We start from the raw sequence: 24927 nt of genomic DNA, 5'->3' as shown, positions 1-24927 counted from the left end.
GTTATATTACAAATAATGTGTTGTGAAGGACTGCTCTTGGGTAAGGAAAGGACTCCTCCTCCTGAAATTTATAATTTGGAAACAATTTGGTAAAAACATAAAAGTAGTTGTTGAACTGACACTAGGATCTATGCTCTCTTGACTATCCCAGGACTTTTTAACTATTACAATTTTGTCTGTTTAAATATCTTGTAGTTCAATTTTTTTGGAGATTATTTTTGTTGTTGTTGTTGTTGTTGTTTTTATTGTTATTATTATTATGACAGGGTCTTGCTCTGTTGCCCAGGCTGGAGTGCAGTGGCGCGATCTCGGCTCATTGCAACCTCAACTTCCAGAGCTCGTGTTGTTCTCTGGCCTCCACCTCCTGAGTAGGTGGGACTACAGGCACACACCCACCACAGCAGGCTATTGTTTTTTTTTTTTATTTTTTGTAGATACAGGGTCTTGCCATGTTGCCCAGGCTGGTCTCCAACTCCTGGGCTCAAGCAGTCCTCCTGCCTTGGCCTGTAGCTTGACCTGTAGTTCAATATTTAAGCTGCTTTTCCAAAAACTATCTTGTAGACTTGTTTATCTATTGAAGACAAGCATTCTAAGAAAATCCTCAAAACAATAACGGGTAATGAAATACTCTTGTTTTACAGTAAACCTATGATGGACTTGTTGATATTCCTTTGTGCACAGTATCACTTAAATCCATCAAGTTACACAATCGATCTGTTGTCAGCTGAACAGAACCACATTAAATTTAAGCCAAACACACCAATAGGAATGTTGGAGGTAGAGAAGGTAATTTTAAAGCCAAAAATGTTGGATAAGAAAAAACCTACACCTATAATACCAGAGGTAAGAATTCCATTATATATTTTGATGTCTTATTCAGTCATTATCAGCAGCTCATTGTAAGTGAAATAAAAATGGACTTTACTGGTTAAATTTGATGTGAATGTGAGTATTATGTTTTTCTAGGCACTTTGTTTAGGATTCAGTTGGCTATTGATCCCTGGATTAAATAGAATTTGGGCAGTACTTTAGATTTAATGCTCTAAAATGATCAATATGATTGCATAAGTATGTAACAATTATGAATGATTTGTATTTTAAGCTACTCTTTTAAAAAGTATATGTAAAGGAAGGTTTTAGAATCTTTTCATGAAAATTAATAATTTCTTAAAGTAATTTTTTGGCTTCTGTGTACTTGGTAAGCAGCAGTTGTAACTTACTAACATCTATTTGTATGTGTGTTTTTGTTTTTTTTTCGAGTTCTTCATTGTGTTTGAATTTATTAACATCTAAACTATTAATGTGTGCCACACATTAACTCCATTTTCTTTAATGTACAAATTTCATGCAAAAATGTTTAACCACAATAATTCTAATATCAGTTCTTATTAAAATTGTTCTATTGCTATAAGCAATAGGGTAGAATTTTATGGGTTTCAAGAAATACTCTCATTATGAACATCAACCATTTTCATTTTATAATATATATAAAAGTTTGTATATTAAATTGATACATGTGACTTAAATATACATATTCTTGCATTTTCTTCATATTGTTATGAAGCTTTTTTCAAAGAAGGTGAGTTTTTGAAAATATTAAAACATACTTGCTTTCTACAATATATGATTTAATATTATTAATATATATTGGGATATTGGACTGCCTTCTGTCTAGGTATTTGTTTCTGTCTAGGTGTTTATTACATATCCCTGCTGTTTTTCTAGATGGAAATAGTTATATTTATGCTATAGCGTGGGATTATACAAAGGGTCTTAGTTTTGTGAATAAAGGTCTTTAAGGACCTGCAAAATGTACGTTTCACTTAGTATGGTCTCATGTTGCTAAGTTCCATACAGGATTTAATTCAATTACATAAAATGATGAGACGCTTAAAATCTTTGTAGTAATTTTAAATTATTAGTACTAGATATTTAATGAAGAGATTTAAATATTCTTTACTAAAACATTAAAATTAGCCAAAGTAGTAATAGTAACAACAAAAGTTAATCACAATAGCTAATGTTCTCTTATTGATAAATGACTATGTGCCAGGAAGTCTGCTAAGCTTTTCATATGGATTATCTCATTTATAATGTTTCAAATAGAAACAAAAATTTTAGTGACTTAACCAAAATACCCCTTTTTATTGAGGCAATAGAGAAATTATTTGAAAGATAAATATTCCTCAAAGGGTAGGATAAAATATACATAATTTTGTACTATGTATATTTGCTAATTTTAAAGTAAATATTTTAAGGAACAAAGTGAAAACATGAGTAGTACTAGATATGAGGCTAGTTTTTTAGGGTCAAATTTAATTAAAATCTTACTATAGAATGGTTGGATTATTTAATAAATAAACTAATGTGTTTGCTTCTAAGAACTTGCTTTGGATTTAGGAAGTAACATTAATCAAAAAGAGAATTTCACACCAAATAGGAAAGTACTGTTTATTGTTTGAATATGTAACTGTAGGTTATCTCATTATTCTAGACATTATTGTAGAGTGTTTGTTTCAGTGAATTATGGTACAACTATGGCTTTAATATGTGTTTCAGAAAACTGTGAGAGTAGTGATTAATTTTAAGAAAACACAGAAGACCATAGTGAGAGTGAGTCCACATGCATCGCTTCAAGAGCTTGCCCCTATTATATGTAGCAAATGTGAGTTTGATCCGTTGCATACACTATTGTTGAAAGATTATCAATCGCAGGAGCCTCTTGACTTGACAAAATCTCTTAATGACCTGGGACTAAGAGAATTATATGCGATGGATGTCAACAGAGGTAAGTAAGACTTTTATTTTATTTATTTAGTGGGATGTGTATATTTGTATATGTTTGTGCATTGTGTTTGTGTGAAGGTGTTCTCAAGTTCATAATGGCAGTTAATGGGTCCTATAGATAAAAGTAATTACTTGGCATTAGGAATAAGAAAACAAAATGTTAATAAATATAAATCAAGTTAAATATAACAACTTAATTTCAGTTATTGAAATTGGAATTAAAACTTGTCTTTTTAGCCATCATCCACAATTTATATTTTTTCTTTGATTTTTTTTTTTTTGGTAGGATTTAACTTAATTCTTCATGGCTTTGAGGCTTAAACAGAAAATAAAAATTTACATATAAAGTCATTGTTATTCTAATCAAGTGTGAATTACTGTGGACTCACTATGATTTTGTCTGAGTCTTAATTATCATTCAAGTTTGGAAGTTTCTTGCCAAATTTTTCCTAAGGTCAACACCAAAATAAGTTGGCTTATGAAATGTATCAGTCTAATTCAAAAAATTTTTGAAATAGCTCCCAGTTTTAATCTATAGAAATGATGTATTAAAATTTGGAGATCTTAGATAATGCTGGTTTGTATGATGTCTAGTAGACAAATGCAAACATTTATTCAACATGAATCTGTTTCACTAAGAGAAATAAAAGTTTAGTGAAGCTGACAATTATTTACATACTCTTTGCATAGAGACTTCAAAATTTATCCTGAGGTGGTGGCTTTATGTAATCCATAGACTACTTTTTCAACTCAGTGATGTTTTATACTTGAACAAACATCATCTTCACAGTCAATTTACCCTCTTTTATACCCCTCCTTCTGTAGCCACTTCTGTTACTGTCTTCAGTAAGTCATCTTTACAAGGTAAGATGTATGAATCAGTAGAAACAAATTATAACATGAAATTGGATATATTGAAATTAAGCTTCTAATTTTACCCTTTCTTAACATCACTAACGTGTTCATTCTGTATGAGATTTTAACCTAGAAAATATTTGGGTTTTATTTCCTTGAAAAATGTATAGGTTCCTTCCCCTTGATTTCTGAATTTAATTATAATAATTTCATTTCAACAAATGTTTAAAAATTATTCTAACAGTGTGGGAAAACGTATTCTTTACTCTCATACAAGGAAAAATGATTTACTAGGATCTTTACTGGGTACAAATGCTAATAGCTTGGTAGTACCGAGGAAGCATTTCAGATTATTTCACTGAACAGTAATTCAGAATAATGGTGTTATATTAATCATATGAAATTTTGCAGTCATTGTTTGTGAATATTTTGTAATAAGATGGAAAATGCTTATGTTGAAATTAGCTTTTATACCATATAAGTGTGTTTAACACAATAGGTGAATAAATGCTTTTATATGAAATTGCTGAAAGGAAATACATAAAAAATTTCAATAGTGGTTACCTTTGGGTGGTAGGGTTATGGTATGTGATTTTTTTATTATTTATTTTCTTTATAATACAGAATTATATAATGGGCATACATTCCTTTCATAGAGAAAAACTGTATTAAAAATTGCCCAATAATAAATTGTGGAAGTCTTTTTTCACCCATTAAGAAAAAGTCTCAAATAATTGATTACCCTAATAATTACCAGCCTACTAAAAAAACAAGCCTTAACAAACTGCATATATTATGTGTTAGTGAAATCTCACCTTCTACTTCTATAATAATAGGAGATTAGAAATAGTGGTCTCTGTGGTTCTTTCTAGCAACAACATTTTATTACTTGTACTTGACTTTTACTCCTAATTTTGCCACTCTCTATCTGCATAATCCTAAGCAAATTCCATAAACTTTCTGGCCTCATTTTGAGGTTGTCGAATGCACTGATTTCTAATATCCCTTCCAGTAATGGAAGGATGTGGTTTATTTAGAATATGAAATGTTGTGGACAAATCTTAAGAGAGTGAAATATTAAAATTAAGAAAGTTTACAGTATCAGAATCTACAAGGTCAATCCAAATGCTGTCACTACCCTTGCCTCCTTATTTTTTCTGATACTATTTTGAAAACTTAGAACTTACCATGCAATTATATTTAGCCTGCCTTCTAGAAACAGGAAACTACAGTATTTGAGTTGCTTTTCTAAGTAAGCTAAAGCCTTTGCTTGTCTTACTGTTTAACCTGACTTGCTATGATCCCTGATGTAGAGCTTTAAGTGAAAACTTAATGGCTAACTAGTGTGGAGGATGACCATGTACCTGAAAATTTCTTCACCAAAAATAACCATATGGGCCAGGCACGGTGGCTCACACCTATCATTCCAACACTTTGGGAGGTCAAGGTGGGAAGATTGCTTGAGCCTAGGAATTTGCGACCAGCCTGGGAAACATGGCAAAATCCCATCTCCACAAAAAATACAAAAATTAGCCGGGTGTGGTGGCACATGCCTGTAGTCCCAGCTACTCAGAAGGCTGAGGTGGGAGGATCACCTAAGCCCAGGGAGGTCAGGGCTGTGGTGAGCCATGACCCTGCCAGTGCACTCCAGACTGGGTGACAGAGTGAGACCGTTTCAAAAAAATAAATAAAAAATAAAAAATATTCTGGTTATATTTATTGTATTGCACAACCATATGAATTTTTCATCTACTGTTCTGAGTAAATTTAATTGTGTATCCATATGCGATAAGCGGTGTATTCCATCTTAAATTGAAATAGTGGCAAATGTAAAAATAATACAAATATAAATAATCTTTAAATGGATACCAGTTTTAGTTCTACTGTTTAATGCCTGTTTGTCTTTGTGCAAGTTACGAAAACTCTCTGTTCACTTATAGTTCCTGAGAGCGTAATGGAGTAATACCACTGCTTTCATTTTATATATATATATATATATATATATATATATATCCTGCAGGGTAAATGCTAGCATCTTCCAATGAGAAAAAGGGCTCAGAGTGATAACTTTTGATACTTCCCTCACAAGGTCATTCTAAGAAACATTTAGGCATGCAAAAAAACTTTAACCATAAAGTGCTATCTACGTGTTCGTTATTATTAGTTGCTAGCATTGTCAAACTCATTGTGCAGAATGTATGCTGCTTATTTAATATTTGAATCATCAGATTTAAAAGTTTTACTTTGTAAAATAGTTTTCCTTTCATATGTTATTGAGGCATATTGTATTATTGTATTTATTTGGTGTTAACTAGCTTTCCTTTCCTGAAGTAGTCCCTATTTTGCCATAATTTATTTTGGTTTTCTTAGACAGGTATTTTAAATAAAAGCATTTAAGACTATATATTTATCTATTAGTTTAGCTTTAGTTATGTCTCACAAATTTTAATACACAATATTTTATGTCAAATGTTATTGAAATTATATTGTGATTTACCATAAAATCCATATGTTGCTTAGTAGAAGAAATATTTTTTTAGTTTTACAGATCACCACTCATTGTTTTTCCAACCTTTTAGAAAAATTTGCTACTCATTTATTGAAGAAACTAGGTCATTTGTTTTATAGCTTCCCGTGTTCAGATTTTTACTGTTTGCCTCCTGTGGTGTCACTTAATGTTTAACTTATTGCCAATGTCATTGAAATTTTATTTCAATGTAAATTTCCCCTCTCTTTCCTGTAAATTGATGGTTAAATCTAGAGGCTTGATCAGATTTTGGCGAGAGATTTTTTGGCAAGAATACTTCACAAGTGTTGCTGTGTACTTCCATCAGCAAACATGTAACAACGAGTTATTTTTTTCTGATGTTAGCCATCAATGATCTTTGTCTACATCTTAGTTAATTAAGATTTGAAAAATGGTGAAAGTCTATTGCAGTCAATATTACTGAAAAAGTAAGGTTCTCCGTGTCAGCTATATGACTGCTACATAAGTCGAATTCAATCAGAAAAAGGTAGAATAGGCTGGATGAGGTGGCTCATGCCTGTAATCCTAGCACTTTGGGAGGCCGAGGCGGGTGGATCACCTGAGGCCAGGAGTTCGAGACCAGCCTGGCCAATATGGCGAAACCCTGTCTCTACTAAAAATACAAACATTAGCCAGGCATGGGGATGCATGCCTGTAGTCCCAGCTACTTGGGAGGCTGAGGCAGGAGAATCGCTTGAACCGAGGACTCAGAGGTTGCAGTGAGCCAAGATCACGCCACTGCACTCCAGCCTGGGCGACAGAGTGAGATTCAAAAAAAGACTGTCTCAATAAATAAATAAATAAATAAGAAAAGAAAAAGGTATAATAAAAGTTGGATGATTTCCTTTCATCAGTTTTTAAAATAATGGACTGGTTCTCTAGCATAACACAAAGGTGAAAAAAGAGTTTTTTTTTTTTAGTATCATTATGAACATATGAAATTAAACACATGTGACATGTTTCAGTTTATTGAGTTACTTTTATGATGTCCAAATTATCCTTATTTTTACCAGTAGAAACTGTCTCAAGTTGGTTCCTGAGTCCTTTTAACACAACCTGGTAGACTTTGATAGCATTCTTTCTAGTATGGCTAGATGTCCCAAGTTTATCTTGTAGATTCTTTGATACCAACAGAGAATCAACCATTCTCAAGTAATCATGGTTTCTTTTAATGGGAAATGGAATTTATAGCCAATTTGGGCCAGGGAGGCTCAGCACTACTGGCTGTGTCATTGTTTGTAGGCCCTTCAGTTGATATTAGGAGATGCTTTTTGGAAAATTTTATATAAATATTATGTATACAACCTTGAGGTTTGACATTTGCCCTTCTAACTAAAGTAGGGCTTCCTAATTTTCAGCACTATTAACATTTGAGACAAGATAATTCTGTCATTAGGGACTGTCTTTTGCAATGTGCTATGTTTGGAATCCTCACTGGCCTCTACCCAGTAAATGCAGACAGCACAGTCTCCTAACCTCATTGCCAATGGTGGCAATCAAATTGTCCCCAGACTTTGTCAAATGTCCTCTGGGGGACAAAATTGGTCCCAGTTGAGACCCACCCTATTAAAGAAATAACTTTTATGAAACATTTAACAAAGTACTGAGCAATTATAATGACTCACATTTTGTAGAATAAGATATTTCATAGTTGTTTAGCTGTGAGACAAAAGTATAATCAAAATAAAGGAACAAACTGTGTGGTAGCGATTTCATGTCTTGTGTAATTTGAAGTGTCCTTTCTATTTTGCTTCTATACTTCAAAAGCAGAACACAGACTCTGAGTCAAAAAAATTGAGTTTGTGTCGTAGCTCTGTCATTTCCTGAGTGTTGGCCTGGATTATGTATCTTAGTTTTTTAAGCTTCAGTTTCCTCTGCTGTGAAATAGGAACAATATTTGCTTGTTGCTTTGAGAACTTAATAAGATTTAAGGTGCTTCTTTGTAGACTATAATTAGTAGCTTTTAGCATTAGATAAGTTTGCAAAGGGGAAGTAAGAGAAAGAAATCTTGGAAGTGAACAGTCAACCTCACATACAAAAGTAAGATGCTTTTCTTCTATTTTAGAGTCCTGCCAAATATCACAAAACCTAGATATTATGAAGGAGAAAGAAAATAAAGGGTTTTTCAGTTTTTTTCAACGCAGTAAGAAAAAGCGAGACCAAGTAAGTATTTTCTTATATTGCATTTTGTAAGATTCTTCAATTATTTTTAATTACTAATGCTTTTTACTAATATCTTGAAATTACTAGATTTTGTCTTTGTCATTCTTTACTAGACTGCAAGTGCCCCTGCAACCCCTCTAGTAAATAAGCACCGCCCAACTTTTACAAGGTCCAATACCATTTCCAAACCATATATTTCCAACACCCTGCCGTCGGATGCACCCAAGAAGAGGCGGGCTCCACTGCCCCCGATGCCAGCATCTCAGAGTGTCCCCCAAGACCTTGCACACATCCAGGAGAGGCCTGCTTCTTGTATAGTGAAATCCATGAGCGTGGATGAGACAGATAAGGTGTGTAGTTTTGTTTTCTATTTTGTTTTTTTGGATGAGGCAGTGTACCATTTATTTTTCCTCTTACCTAACATCTTTTCTAGGTAGACTAGTAAGAAGTAGTCCTATAACAGTTGGTAATTAGTAACAGTTACTAATATGTAATAAGATGAATAGCTCATTCTAAGATTGGTACTAGGAATAGATCTTCTATGTACATACAGGTCTGTGATGCAGTAAAGGATAAATGTCCATTTTAAGTAACTTTCATATTCAAGCAAAAAAAAATCTGAAAACCTAAAGTCTTGGTTTACTAAGGCCTAACTAGGGGCTCTTGCTAGGTGCATGTAATAGGAATGGAAATACAGTCTTTATTTTTGAATAGTTCTTTTTTATACAGTAACACAGTCTTTGAGTTGTGTTCATGGGTTTCTAACCACACGTATTTTCTTGACCTGACTCAGATTCTCCAGGGAATAGCCTGGTATCTACCTAGTACATAGATACTCCACAGTGAAAAAAGAAAATGAGCCTTTTTATATAGAATATATCACAGTTACCTTTATGCACCCTTATCTTCAAAGCACAGTTCTATGTGTACCTTTTTCTCAAAGTTTCTTACTATTACACACCTTTAATCTCAAATTTTCCCTGAGTTTGCCATTTTGTGGAGATCCATTTGCAAACTACTTTTCATGACTAAACAATCTGCATATTCCTTGCTTTATCCATGTGAAAAATAAATGAATTTTTAGGTATATATGATTGAAGATGAGACTGTATATATTGTTGCTGGTAATCAGAAAGAATGATTTAAGTAACTTTGAGAGCAGATTTTATTTGGAGATAATTGAGACACTGAGAAGTTTTCTTGTGTCTAGTTGAAAGATTTTGTTTCCCCCTTGGGGGCTTAGTAAATGCAATGCTAAAGTAAATTAACTCTTCCCAAGCACCTGGTACACATTTCTGTGCTTCCTTTACTTAAAAAAAATTAACCATAGTTTTAAAATGTAGTTTATAGGCTATCATACATGCAACTCAAAGAGATAGAAATGAATTTTGAAAATGCTTAACCTCAGTACTTGGAAAATTATCTATTAAGTTTCTTATTTCTATGAAGACTTTCTTGTCTAATTTAGTATTTGTGGTATAAAATCTCATCTTATAAAATCTCATCCAATCTCACAAATCAGGAGGATAATGTTTTTGTCAAGTTATAGAGTCACATACTGACAAAGAATTTGCAGGGTAACTGCTTGAGAGTTGGGAGAATCTTCACGGAGAGATGATTCTTGAGTTCACTCTTAAAATATGTGTGGGAGTGCATTAGGCCAAGGAACCCTGTTAAGAGACGCAGGAATGTGAACACGATGGCTTGCCTGGACATGAGCAAGAAACAGAGACTGAAATTAAGCATGGTAAGCAGGGGTCAAGTCAGGGTCCCAAAGACTTTATTTTGTGCTTGTAGCCCTTTTAAATTTATTCACAATAAGAAGTAGCATTTTTAGGGTTGTTGTATCATAGAAGAGTGTAAATTATACTCTTGAGTAGCTACCTTTTTGCATATATTAATATATATAGAAATATACTTTAGCCCATGCTCACAAATCTTTATTCCAGCTGTCCTCATCCAATCTATTTCAGTAAACTTCCTTTGTACTTGGCTCCCCAAGAGGTCTATGTTGTCTTTCTAATAGTCTGTTTCTTAAAATTCTGGGCTGTGCCACCAGTGACCTCACTGAAAGCTATTTCTTTTGATTCTCTCCCTCTGCTCTGTGACCAGTTGCTGCCCCTGTGTTAAGTAATCTTTTTTTTTTTAGTATGTTGCCTTTGGCAAACTACACATCTTTATACAATTTTCTAATTATTTTTTCTTTTGATCTGGACATCTGGATAGTTCTTTGATGTATTGTTCAGTAGGACCCAGACTTATTTGTCTTTCCCTAGAGAAGCTGAAGAACCATTTTTTATTTATTCATTGCAAAAATTCTTAGTGATAAAGCTGTAGTGCACACAAAAATTCATACCTTCCTAGGCATCTCTGCAACTAACTTCTTGATATATTTGATGTGGTTAATTACCCCCTTGGTCTTGATTTGTCTTTTTCTTCCTTGGTCTTGAACCTCTTCTTATATCTCAGCCCTCTTCTATTTTTTTTTTCTTGTCACTGTTTCTTTTATTCATTTTCTAAATTTGGAGGTACTAAATCCATGGTCTTGGTCTATATTTCTGCACTTATTCAGAGAAGACATCTCTTCTTTTTTGAGTTTGTGGGCTGATGGTTCTCAACTGTAGTGGTTTGAATATGTTCCTTGCAAAAGGTATGTCTGAGCTCTAACCCTTCCAAAACCTGTGATTCTGACCTTATTTAGAAATAGAATTTTTGCAGATGTACTTAAGGATCTAGAAATGAACTCATATTGGATTTGAGGTGGGCTCAAATCCAGTGGCAGGTATCCTTATAAGAAGAGGAGACACACAGGCAGAGAGACACAGAGAAGGTCGTGTGAAGACAGGCAGAAATTGGCATTATGCTGCCACAGCGAACCATTACCAGGAGTCAGTGGAAGCTGGAAGAGGCAAGGGAGGGTTCTCCCTAATGCCTTCAAAGGGAGCATGACTCCGCCAACACCTTGATTTCAGATTTCTGTATTTCAGAACTGTGGAAGAATACATTTGTGTTGTTTTTAGCCACCCAGTCACAGTAATTTGTTAGGGCAGCCCTAGGAAACTGTACATCAACTTCGTAATTCCAGTCTCGGTATTCTTCCAGTTGCAATTTGAATTCACAGTTGCTATTGACTCATGACTACCTGGAAGACGTATTTAAGATCCGAATCATTGTTTTTCACCAGACTGAAAAGCTCAAGTTCATCTTTGTTTTTTTTTCTTTTTACATCTAATTAGAGACAAATCCTTCATTCAGTCTCCCTTCATGATGTCTTTTATTCCCTCTGCTGACATCTTTTGTAGAGAAATCCAGGACAGAGTATAAAGAGAAAACCAGTACTTAATGTGTCTTTGAAATTCTCAACGTGGCAAGCTGCTGCATTTGTATTTCTTAATTATCACTTCTCAGTTCAGAAATTTTGCATAGCTTGTTGTCATTTTTCTGGGCATCCAAGATCCTCTACAGAATGATTACAATTTTACTTTTAAACTTTTTAATGCCTCCTCATTGATAGGATAGGATACTTCTATCTCTAACCAGAAGATTTGACTTATTGTTGCTGATGCAAAAATCCTGTGTTCTGTATCTTTTCAGAATGGAATGGCCCCACTTCCATCTTCTTCATTTCTACTTACCCATCCAAAGGATGTCCATTCTTTTATCAGATTCATGGAGAGTTTTCTGAAGATGCCAGCGCAGAATAATCTTTACCTTCTCTGAATTTGTTCCTCTTGTCCCTTTTTATTTTCTCTTAATTTGCATTATGTATAGGTTTTATATGTTATTCTAAAGATAAAAAGAGGAATACAGTAAAAATTCTCCTTCCCTATCCCCCACCAAGTTCTCCTGCCCAGAGGCAACCACTGTTAACAGTTTCTTGTGTGTCTTTCCAGAGATAATGTATGCATATTAAAACCAATATTCATGCTAAATATTTTTTTTCCTCAGGTGGCCATATACTACATGCATGTTATACTTTACTTCTTGGTATGGAATTATTTATTCTGGATATTCTTAGCAGTTCATAAAGGGCTTCCCTTTTCGAAGGATTGAATAATATTAAATTGATGGGTATAACATGACTTACTTACCTCATCCTCTAAAGATAAACTTTAGGGTTGTATTATGGCTTAATGCTTGCAGCATTGTTAAATTTTACCTTTTTCTTTTCCCCACCCAGAAGGCAGGAATTGTGTTCTCCAGCAAAATTCTGTAACATGGTAGGTGTTCAAGAGAATTGATAAGTAAACATTAATCACTGCTTTCATAGCCAGGTATAGTATATACAATGAGAATGTGTCACACTTATATCGTAAAATTTTAGTATGTCATTCATATATCTGGTAAATTTTCAGAAGTACGTGGTTAACTTAAAGATTGCTTACATTTACTTTTATGGTAATTGGACCATGTAATTTTTAGCAATATATTTCTTAAGCTTTTATAGAAAAGCCAGAATTTAGATAAGGTTATATTGAAAACTTAAGGTCCAACTAAACTATACTGTACATTGCATAATGCATATAAATATAATTGATCCTTGAATTAAAATTGTTTATAGCCCAGGCTTGATGGCTCATGCCTATAATCCCAGCACTTTGGGAGGCCGAGGTAGGAGGATCACTTAAAAGCCGGGAGTTCAAGACCAACCTGGGCCACAAAGTAAGACCCCTGCCTCTACAAAAAATAATAAAATAAAATAAATCAGCCAGGCATGTTGGTGTGTGCCTGCAGTCCCAGCTACTCAGGAGGCTGAGGTGGGAGGATCACTTGAGCACAGGAATTCAAAGCTGCAATGAGCTGTGATCTCACCACTGCACTCCGGCCTGGGTGACAGGGTGAGACTGTGTCTTTAAAAAATAATAATGAATTTTAAAATAGTAAAAATGTGGTTTATATAGCCAGATGCAAATATTCAGGAAATTCAGCAAAACATATGAACGTACAAGTGAATCATACTTATTTCACTGCTTGCTTGTTTTAAATTTAAAATCAAAGATGGTCATTATCACTATAAACGTTTGTATCTATTTTAACAATTTAGTTTTCAATTTGAAAATGTAAAATATCACTATTTTTAGTGATTGAAAATGATAGCATGTTGAGGAAAACATAACTTGGAAGAAAAATATGTATGACCAAATTGGTTCTAAGTATGTGAATTTTAGACACTTTTATTTAATTTTTATTGTTCAGGATACAAAATAAACCACAAGGGTGCGCTGTTTGACAGAAGTACAGTATTCTAATTTTTCCATTTTTTTTCTCCAAAGCACATTTTAATAAAGCAGAAAGAAAATATTGGAAATAGTTACATTGCATGAGAAGTAGAAAATGCTTATTCATGCGGGTAAATAAAGCTAGAGAGATAAATGTCAGTAACACATGACAAAGGGATTTATAATTAGCAATTTTATTCATTTTGAGTTTTTAATGCATTTTCTTGTTCTTTTAAGAGCCACAGAAACTATGTTTGCCTTAGTCAAGGTTTACTGATGTCAGTAAATCTGTAGCTTAGGAAAAATTTTGTCAACCACATTTATTTTATATTTTTTGGCTGTCTATATTTAATAATTTGCCTCATTCTTCTAAGATATTTCTCAATATTAGCAAATTAAAGTATATGGATGGTGTTTTTTTAGAGCTTATACTGAAAATGCTCACATAAAAGGCTGTTGATTTGCTGAGCTAATTTTGACAAACTAACTGTGCAGTTTCCAAAGACTATTCAAAGTTAGCCGAGATAGCAAAGATCCAAGTTAGCAAATGATTTAACCCAAGCTTTCTTAGAATATTTCTGCATCTAAAATTATTTTTTCCATCTAAAGAATACATTTTGAAGAACACATATTTTACTATTATTGCTGCAGTATCCTTTCAAATCCCTAAATTTCTATGTACCCTCTTTCACATTATTTCAAGTCTCATGTCATTTTTCCTATGAAGGTGAATATATCATCTTCTATGAAAATGTTCATTTGAAAAGAAAACTTTCCCATTAGAAATTTTCTGGCAGTATTTCTTGGTAGTTTTTGAGCATTTTTTAAATATGATTTTTCCTGATGATTTGAAATGCCATTTGTGCAACAAGACATATAATAGATCATGCTTTATTTATATGAACCATATAACATATATTCTTATATAAAATGTACACAGTTATTTACGATAAGATTGTCATTTGTGAAATGGGAAGTCAGAAATTCGATTACATTGACTTAAATTGAAAGTGACTTAGAATTCTCAGATAAATCTAAGTTCAGAAATCTAGTTTCTGCACCGTATCTGCTGACCAAGAGTTTATGAAGAGCACATTTAATAAAATCAATGGCCAAAGGATGTTCTGGTCTTATTGACAAATTAGCCTCATAAGCTGATTTTACATTTGAATAAGTGGAAGAAGAGTCAGGGAAAAGTATTTGGTAATCTTGACCCATAGAATTCACAGAACCTTTTGGAGAATTTTTCATTTGGCACATTTGGTGTGACTGCTGCTTGGAATGATGGATATACAACAGCAATCAATTTTTCTCCTGGCTACGGGGATGGCACATCATTTTCTCTGGGATATTACATTGTGGCTGGAAACACTGTAAGAAATGATCTTCACTGGGCATTTTATTTTATCTCATTTTGCATCCTGCTTCAGACAAACACTCAACTATTGAGAAACGGAAACTCTTTGCCATCTAGTATTATGCAAGTGAAATTTAATACCTAGAGTGTTAGTTTTAAAATAACTGACTTAATTTTTTAAATGTTTTACATTATTCATCTTTTATGCAATTTTATATTCTAATATATATCATGGTTTATAAGCAGATAAGATGATGTATTGTCATATACTTATGAAATGTACAGGTACATATTTTGCTATTTTACTTAATTTTAATCCTAGTTATTTTACATAGAGTATGTAAGGTTGTACCCTCTGTTGTAATAGAGTATGTATTTGCAATGTTTAAGAAACATCCCCCTTTTTAGATTTTTACACAGGTTGTTATATTTTATTTTCCCCTCCATTTTCCTCTTATATTTATTATATAGAAAGTGGACCACCATGCATAATTCTACAATTGCCTAGGAACAGTGGTTACCATGGCATTTGCAGTTTGCTGTACAGAATACAGCTGTCTATACTTCCAAAAATATGACTGGTTTCATTCAGTAGAGAAATGTACCAACACAGTATAATATTTAATCTGCTCCCCTTTTTAAGGCTTTCCTAGATATAATACATACTTTGCCACTGTAGTTTTCATCAGATTTTCAAAGGGTCATAATCACAATAACAAAAGCAATGGTGAATGCTTATATAATGCTTACTAATGTTTCAGACAAGGCTCTAAGAACATTACTTATTTAATCCTTATGACAACCCTCTGGGCCATTACATTTTAGGTTTCTGACAGTTTTAGCCTAAAAGAACTATGAATTATGAGGAATTAATAAGTTGTTAAACTTTAAGGAAAAATATATTATTCAAAGAGCAGTAGGTCATTTGTGGAATTAATATGGATTTCTCATTCTTGTCTATTAGTATGTAAAAAGTCGTACCTCTCTAAAATAACATGCTGAGTTAATAAAATAGTATTGAAAATAATTACTGTTAGGAGGCTTACTTTACCAGTATGAAGTTTACTTAGCCTCTCTATCTCTGTGATGTTTGTGACCTCATGGGAAGATTTGCATTTCTCTGGTAACCAGCATGTGTTAACAGAGGCCAGGGCAGATAGAAGCAGGCCTCTTTTCTGGAGCCACAGTGATAACCTTAAGGTGTCCCTGGGATAAGCCTGCTCCCAGCCTTAATTGCCTTTCTGGATGAACTGAGTTGGCCCCAGTTTGTTTGATTGACTGTAGCTTCACTCTGGTATAGGTCCTAAACTCGGTTAACTTCTAGATTATTCACATTCTCCTACCCTGTGGCTAAAAACACCTCTATCCTCATCACTGTGATCACAGGGAATCATGGTTACCACCATTCCCTGTCTTTTAAACTTGATCCTGAGCTCTGCTTTCTGGTGGTTCATCCTGGTTTTTTTTTTTTTTTTTTTCATCCAAGATGTACCATTGAGCTAGACCCTCATCATTGGGCTTTTACTAAATGCTGTATGCAGAGGATTATCATGAGTAAGACTTAGTTTATATACTTTATCAGAGTATCATAGGGTTGATGAAAGCACGGATTGCCTCAGGAAGACAAATGGAAAAAACTTACAGGGGAATAACATGGGATTTTTTAATGTGTGTGTGTGTGTGTGTGTGTGTGTTTCTTTCTATTGTGCCTAGACAAGGGCTGGAAAGAAGAAGTCCTGACCTGGCCTGAGAGAGAGACTCCTGAATTCTACTAATAGGTCTATTATCTTCTTCTTTGCCGTTGTCATTTTTTTTCCTTCACCTTTGCTGAACTTCTCTATGACTTAGTTTTCTCCTCTGTAGAATAAGATTGTGTAATTAAATTTCCCAAAGTCTCTTCCAACTCTAGTATTACAAAATTATGCTATTTTGCTATTTTTTAAAATTGGCCTCTAACAGATGAACGTGCTTGTTTTGGTTTGATCAACGTTAACGAGATGACGGTGTCTAATCCTGGCATTACTCCTCTGAGGATTTCAGAAACTTAAAGTACAATAACAAAATAAAACATTGACTGACATCTTTCTTCCCAAACTCCTGACTGTAACACAAAAGTTAACACAATTGCATAGGTATTGCATTACTAAAAAGAGGTAAAAGACTTGATATTTGATGACGACATGCTTAGGTTAATGAGTTTGTTAACCATGGTAACCATGTTACCATTGACTAATAATGAGTTTTAAAGTAGATGACTTTAAGAGAAATCTAGTGGCAAGCTTGGCCACTCAGAATCCCCTGAATGGGTTTAATTTTATTAACCAAAAAGGTACAAGTTACTGTTGGTGGTGGTATTTAGATCACATATAAGTGAACCTAGCTGTAACCTCATTGCTTCCTCTCATAATATTTATTTCAGCAGATTGGTAGGAGCAGCATTAAAATTGTCCACATAGTGATAGCTGGCCTAGTGTAGATGTAAGAGCTCCAGGCCCTGGTACTGCTGACCTATTTCTTCTCTCGTTATTATAGTTGTCTGGGATCTGACATGCCACCTCTATTCCTTATACCCCTTCACTCTGATGTTATATGACTTTTCTTAATCTACAAAACCTAGGCAGGCTAAGATTTTCTATGCCATCAGTGAAGAATCTTAAAACAGGTTTATATAGAGAATAAGAAAATAGAATGCATAAGCCCTAGATTTTCAGGAGTGTGGAGGAAGTGCCATCCAAAGAGGAAAAGGATGTAGCACAGGGAGATACAGGACATCAGAAATAAACTTCCCCCACCCCACCAAAAGATAACATTTTATTTTTACAAATCACAATAATATAACAAAGAAACTGGCAAGTATGCTTTCATACAATACAAGCCAAAATTTGCATGCACGTGTGTGTGTGTATCTATGTGCATCATGTATATACAGGTGTAAAAAGATACACATATAACAGTGGACACCAAAACTTCTATGAGGCGACTTTTATTTGGGATTTAGTGATTTTTTTCCTCATCATTATATACATTATTTGTGTCTTGTGAGATTGAGCTAATTTTATCACATCAACCATAAAACTGATTTAATTGTGATAAAAACTCACAGCTTATTTTGCAAATTCAATACAAGACCTCATTCTTCTAAATTACATTTATTATAGTGTAATAATAATATATATAATAATGACACTTTAAAATTGACTTGCTTGTCTAAGTTGTAAAAATTTTTTAACATTCTTCCATCAAGAGTTAAGAGTTAAAACTTGACCCTCAGATATATGAAAAGTTCAGTTATTGGGACACAATAGCAAATACCATAAATTAATGTCAATTTATAAGATATTTTATACTATTTAATAGTGTTTATTGTGAATGTCCAGGTTGGAGAAGAATAATGTGAGTCTGTCCCTTGAAAAACAAAACATGAGTTTTAAGACAATTTCAAGGGATTGTTTACATTCTCTCCACTAACCCCACCCTTTTCCACCTGTGAAAATCATAAACAGAACCAACAGATTCTATTAGAAACATTTAACATTATTGAAGTTGAGCCTCTATGTTTCTATCCCCTGAGTGTTTTTATTTTCCATATGTATTCTTTCATTTAACTCTTTAATCCAGGATACGTCAATTTCAATGACCCACTTTTTATAATTCAACTATGATTAATAAGTGATCTAATAACTAGTACAGAGCAAGTATTCAGTAAATCTCTTGAATGCCGTTTGATTCTATTTTCTTCAGCTAAATTTAGTTGGATTTTGAATCAGGAAATTCTGATCTGGGTGTGAATTCTGGGGGATTAACAATCTGGCATGGTTTTCAACCTGACCTTGCCACTTTCATTAGTAGATTCTGTTTCTCCTTGTGGTATTTTCCTTTTTACAGACCATAAAATTCAGTGATGTGCATTCCTGTTAGAAGTGCAGTTTTCATTAATGGCAAGCAGACTTATCAGTGACTCTAACTAAAGTAAATAATTGAACATCTCTAATGATTAACCAAAGCAGTTTCCCCTAGTAAGTAGAAACCTCTGTGTTTTCTCATTTTGTAAAGCCTTTAGACTTAATAAATTTTAATCTCTACCACTTTTTAAAATGTAGTCATAATTTGAACAAAGTAAATGTTTGTTGGTAGTAAAAGCTGAAGACAGTTATAAATGGTTCTTTAATTTTTCACATTAAATTTGCTTATGAGACATTTCAAATGTATGTACTATAATACATATCCATGAATTCATCACTGATTCAACAAAGTAGTGTTAAATATTTAACTTTTATTAAAGTCCTTTAAAGTATGTTGAAGAGACCTGAGTTGACTCAAAGGTGGAGATTTTTAGACCCACAATGAATGTTTATACAGTAGACTAAGCATTGGTTCCTGAACATTGGGCACTGTTGAGTTTTAAGGTTAATTATTACTGAGACTGATTCCAATAGGACTCTTACCAACACAGTCACCAGAGAGTACAATCTTAAATACCTCCTTTTACCTATGCTTTTTACTCCAACATCTGTATAACTATAATTCTTATTTTATTTGCAGAACACTTTCATGTACTTTAAAACAGACAAATTGCATGTAATAATATCAGCTGATGGTTATGAAGCATGTATTGTATGCTAGGCACTGTGCTATGTATTTTACATATAATATTTCATTTAAGTATCCCAGCCCCTTTTGACATAGGTGCTAGTACTTTTCCTTTTCATGAATGAGGAGGCCGAAGGTCACAGAGACAATAAATGGCATGTTTCCTGGTTCAACCGCTTGTATTGACTCCAAAACCCATTTCTTTGGGAATCATTGTAGTGGGTCGCCTTCTACCTTGCAAACTCTCTGTAAGCCTCTCTCCAACTAGACAAATTCAGATTCAGAAATAGTGGGTAGTTTAGCTCTGATGAATGCAAGAGCAGAACTATTGGGAGACTCTTTGGAGCATACTCCTAAAGTGCACAGAAGAAAATACAGCTTAAGAATGCTGCTGCTGGCCGGGCACAGTGGCTCACGCGTATAATCTCAGCACTTTGGGAGGCCGAGGCAGGTGGATCACAAGGTCAGGAGTTCAAGATCAGCCTGGCCAAGATGGTGAAACCCCATCTCTACTAAAAATACAAAAAATTAGCCAGGCATGGTGGTGGCTGCCTGTAATCCCAGCTACTCGGGAGGCTGAGTCAGAGAACTGCTTGAACCCGGGAGGCGGAGGTTGCAGTGAGCTGAGATCGCACCACTGTACTCCAGCCTGGGCAACAGAGCGAAACTCCGTCTCCAAAAAAAAAAAAAAAGAATGCTGCTGCTTAGGGATCAGTGGTCTTCCCAGCCTTTTAATTTAATTTAATTTAATTTTTCAGCATTCTAAATTCATGATGTGTATTACTTAAATATTACTTAAATGCTGTGGCAGTTTAGTAAGGCTGCTTTTAGCATTAGTCATTCCTGGGTTTGGAGCCTCTCCAGTCTTGCATGTTAGATATGTATATTCTCTGTAAATCCCAGTGTATACATGTGCTTTCCTGGCTACAGTCTATTTAGAAATATCGAAGTCTCCTAACTTAAATGTCCCTTCTTTTCCTGCAGACTTTACCGCGCCTCCCCAAGAGAAGGTTTTTTAGTAGATGTAGAACATCTCTTTCTCAAGTCCCAGTTGTTCTTCCATTTTGTGTTAAGAGTGATGTTTTAGTTAACACACAATTTGATTTTTATTTGATTTTTATTATCTTAACTTCCCTTGGCAATTTCTTAAATAATTGAAATTATTTTCCAAGAGTCTTCATAAAACCTCTTGCCTCTGTGTCTTATGACAACAAAAAATATATATATTAAGCTATTTCCTTGAATGTTAATATGAATATTACTCATATTTCAAAAGAAAATTTACATTTCTGTCCTTCATTAATCTGTTGGTTATTATCTAAACTCACTATTCTTATTTCTTCAAAACTCTTGCCTTTGCACGACTTATACCAGTTGTTAAATTTACATTTTGTCCTCAACTTTAATAAGTTTTAACCATTATTAACAGCGTAAGTTCCAGTTATGACAGACCACATAATTGTACGTCGTATCAATTAGTGACAATCATGTTCACTTTCCTCTAATGTCTTTTTATTTTTATTTATTTATTTATTTATTTTGAGATGGAGTTTCACTCTTGTTGCCTAGGCTGGAGTGCAGTGGCGCAATCTTGGCTTACTGCACCTCCACTTCCCGGGTTCAAGCGATTCTTCTGCCTCAGCCTCCCAAGTAGCTGGGATTACAGGCACACACCACCATACCCGGCTAATTTCTGTATTTTTAGTAGAGACGGGGTTTCACCATGTTAGTCAGGCTGGTCTCAAATTCCTGTCCTCAGATATTCTACCTATCTTGGCTTCCCAAAGTGCTGGGATTACAGGCGTGAGCCACGGCACCCAGCCAATGTCTTTTTTCTTAGCCTCTTTAATTCAAATTTCAGCTTTAGTAATGCATATCCATTTACCATCATGATACCCATGCACAACATGGTAAGGGTGGTGAATGTCACAGAATAGGGTTGTAAAATAAATGCTTCCCCTGATGTCCATGGCTTTGTGTTTTCAATATGCATTTCCCCCAGTTATCTTCATAAATGCTGTTGAAAAAAATTTAGCATTTATAAAACTGAAATATGTCTGTTTTGACAAATTTTAAATTCTTTATCCATAAAAATATAAATACTCTGTTTTACAAAAAGCTAGCTTATTTTAAGACCTCTAGCCTGAATAATGAAATATATGAGTCTATGGTTATTCTGTCTTTAGTTATGAATAGGCTCATAAAAATTTGTGAGTCTGTGTATATTCCTCCATTTTTATTTCTATACTGTCTGCTTTATTATAACCAAAATATAAGAGCTCTAACTCCCAAGTAGATACTCTCATTGAGAAATTCATGTCATGGCTGCTTTTATCATGGAAAAGACCAGTAAGTGACAAAGATTAGGAATGTGACCTAAAGGTGAACACATTTTTATTATACACCTCATGAAAGCAATCAGTTGAAACAAGGGAAACATGGAACTAGGGAGGAAAATCAAATGCTCTTGTTGCTTCATGCTTTAAGCTACCACTTATTGATCACCTGTTGCATTCTTACTGGTAAACTAGATCTGCCATAGGAGTGGAGCATGGCTTTAATAGGGCTTTACAGAAGTAAATCCGAGAAATAAAATCACATCTTCTACTGCTTTTGATTTGTAGACAATTATTTTTTTAAAGTGAAGGGCCATGTTCTTTTGGGAGAACTTTTGGCCTTTTTTCTGATGTTTCCTAAATGTGTTACTCTTAAGATATCAAGGGAAAGTTTTAGAACAGAAGGGCATTATCAGTAGAAAGATTTCTATTTAACCTTTATATTCTATTCAAAACAATATTTAAATACTGGCAACTCCTTGGTGCACTTCTTTCTTACCTTTTTGTTGCAGCGGGCCCTTGTTTTGAATTATTTCAAACATCCATTGAGAATCCACCCCCATGCCTACCCCAGTCAGGATGATCATAATATTTAGTCAGAATTGACTTCAGTGACTCTGAGACAGAATCTGAGTTTGGGTGGCAGGCTTTAACTCATTTCTTGCTGGATTATAGAGAAATCTGAAGAATTTTGGAGGAGGAATCAGAGTAATGGGATGGGGTTGGAGGCAGCTCTTTACCAACTAGTAGGAGAGAAGTTTAACATTTCAACTGTTGGTAAAATCTCCCTGGTGCCACCTTGTCGCACCCCCCTGTTATGAGGCACAGTTAGTGGGTTTATGAGAGGTTTGTTCAGTGAAGCTCCTGCCACTGTAGACCTAAATGTTTCTCTCCCTGTTGAAGTGACCTGCCTTCCTCTTTAGTACCTAACACAGTTGGCAAAGAGCATGGCTAACTCAAACCCTTTTCTTTGGGGGCAGGCTTCCCTTTCTCTCTGGCAGGTATATTAAAAAATTACAAAATAGTAAATTTGCCAAATTTTTCTTGGTGTGTAGCAAGGCATAAAGACTGAAAAATATCTTATGAATTAGTTCACTTCCCTTAGAGGTACCTACGTTGTCTTGTAAGACTAGAATGCCCCAAGCTTTACACGTGCCCCTGGTCTGAGTATGTCAAGGTCTTTTATTTACAAATGAAGATGGCAGCATATCATTCATTTTTTTATTCATTCAAGGAGTATTTACTTAGAACCCTCTGTGAGCCAGACATGGTTCTGGACATACAGCAGTGAGTGAAATAGTAGGGGAAAAAAATCTCTGCCTCTGTGGTCAACCCCAGTGGGAGCAGACAATGTACAAGGCAAATAAGTCAACTGTATAGTATGTTAGAGAGCAATTAAATGCTCATCATAGAAATAAATCTAGGAAGCAGGGATAAGAAATGTTGGGAGTCAGGGAGGAGTTCATTGAAAAGATGACATTTGACCGGGTATGGTAGCTCATGCCTGTAATCCCATCACTTTGGGAGGCCAAGGCAGGCAGATCACTTGAGGTCAGGAGTTCGAGAGCAGCCTAGCCAACATGGTGAAACCCCATCTCTACTAAAAATACAAAAATTAGCCAGGTGTCATATTGCATGCCTGAAATCCCAGCTACTCAGGAGGCTGAGGCATGAGAATCACTTGAACCTGGAAGGTGGAGGCTGCAGTGAGCCAAGTCACCCACTGCACTCCAACCTAGGTGGAGAGTGAGACTCTGTTTCAAAAAAAAAAATGACTTTTGAGAAATGGCCTGAAGAAAATGAAGGGACACCGAGTTATCAGAAGAAAAAGCATTCCAGGCACAGGGAGCAGTAAGGGTGACCACCCTGTGATGGAGGAACTCTGCCGGCACATTTGAAGAGCAGCAAAGAGGCCAGTGTGGCTGGAGTGGAGTGAGCCATTCCATTACCAAAGGAGAGGCCAGAGAAAGCTAGACACCGGGTTGTTAATGGACTTATAAAGGGAACTATTAGTGGGTTTTGACCAAAGTTACCTAATCTGGCTTACATTTTAATAGGATCCTTTTTTCTGATCTTATTTAAAGATAGCAGATTCTTTTTGCTGCTATGTTGAAGGACTATAGGGAAACAATGTGGAGATGGAGTCTAATTAGGTACTTCCTAATGATGAGTCAGACAACATAGTAGCAGTTAAGCTGGATGTTGGATGTCTTCTAAGGGAAGGGAAAAAAGGGTTGACTCAGTGTGAGATGTGACAGATACAAGATGAGGGTGAATGGAAGGATGACTTGTTCTTTACTAAGACAGGGAAGGCTGTGAGAATAGGATGTGGCAGAGGGATAAAGAGGAATCATCATGATCTCAGTTTTAGACATGCTAAATTGAAGAGGCTTCAGACATTAAGGGGAGATCAGAACAGAGGTCCAAGATAGAGACGTGGATTTGGAATTCATCAGCATGCAAATAATACATAAAGAGAATAGATGAGATCCTCTGGAGAGGGAGCAGAGATACTAAATGGAATGTGTTCACAGACCACACTCTGTGTCACACCAGTGTTGATCAGGAGATGAAGAGAAGCAGACACAGAAAACTGAGTAGCCAGAGAGTACGGATCTATAGAGAGTAAGAAATGTGGTCTCCTGGAAGAAAAATAATGTATTTTAGGAGGGTGGTCAGCTTTGTTTAATGTTGCTAATAGGTCTCATAAGTGAGTTCTGAGAAGTGGCCACAGATTTCTTCATAGTCAAGGTCTTTGGTGACTTTGATAGGAATCCTTTTAATGGATCAAAGGCTGGGAAAAGTATCATTGAAAGGATTCAAGTGGGATAAGAGAAATTGGAGACACAAACTGCAAACAACTCTTTTGTTTATTTATTCATTTTTTCAAGATGGAGTTTCACTCTTGTCGCCCAGGCTCGAGTGCAATGGCGCAATCTTGGCTCACTGCCACCTCCGCCTCTGGGATTCAAGCGATTCTCCTGCCTTAGCCTCCCGAGTAGCTGGGATTACAGGCACATGCCACCACGCCTGGCTAATTTTTTTATTTTTAGTAGAGACGGGCTTTCACTACGTTGGCCAGGCTGGTCTCGA

At 34.9% G+C, this 24927-nt stretch overlaps 1 protein-coding gene across 10 annotated transcripts in view, besides 2 other annotated features; it reads left to right on the top strand.

Annotated features, from left to right (window-relative positions):
• The window catches only part of COBLL1 (cordon-bleu WH2 repeat protein like 1), a 184146-nt gene that overhangs the window by 111320 nt on the left and 47899 nt on the right, over window positions 1-24927 (top strand). For 6 of the 10 annotated variants that reach the window (NM_001365670.2, NM_001278460.2, NM_001365673.2 and 3 more), the window contains 4 exons: window positions 642-843; window positions 2560-2788; window positions 8235-8332; window positions 8446-8682. In NM_001365670.2, the coding sequence (NP_001352599.1) occupies window positions 642-843; window positions 2560-2788; window positions 8235-8332; window positions 8446-8682 (766 nt within the window). Of the gene's footprint in view, window positions 1-641; window positions 844-2559; window positions 2789-3612; window positions 3652-8234; window positions 8333-8445; window positions 8683-24927 lie in introns of all 10 variants that reach the window. The other 4 variants (NM_001365671.1, NM_001278458.2, NM_001365675.2 and 1 more) reach the window with 1 other exon arrangement.
• Window positions 18829-18973: an enhancer, noted in NCBI's record as "145 bp enhancer 131/132 fragment used in the MPRA reporter construct; PK_construct_95". NCBI's record gives its function as "activates an SV40 promoter by MPRA in HepG2 cells {active_cell/tissue: HepG2}" and the evidence as "EXISTENCE:reporter gene assay evidence [ECO:0000049][PMID:23512712]".
• Window positions 18895-18908: a transcriptional cis regulatory region, noted in NCBI's record as "HNF1 motif; enhancer activity is reduced when this motif is scrambled". NCBI's record gives its function as "necessary for full MPRA enhancer 131/132 activity {active_cell/tissue: HepG2}" and the evidence as "EXISTENCE:site-directed mutagenesis evidence [ECO:0005528][PMID:23512712]".

This window comes from Homo sapiens, chromosome 2, assembly GCF_000001405.40.
Source record: "Homo sapiens chromosome 2, GRCh38.p14 Primary Assembly".
Taxonomy (NCBI): domain Eukaryota; kingdom Metazoa; phylum Chordata; class Mammalia; order Primates; family Hominidae; genus Homo; species Homo sapiens.
The sequence above is the reverse complement of the archived record's forward strand: the minus strand, read 5'-3'. Positions and strand labels throughout refer to the sequence as shown.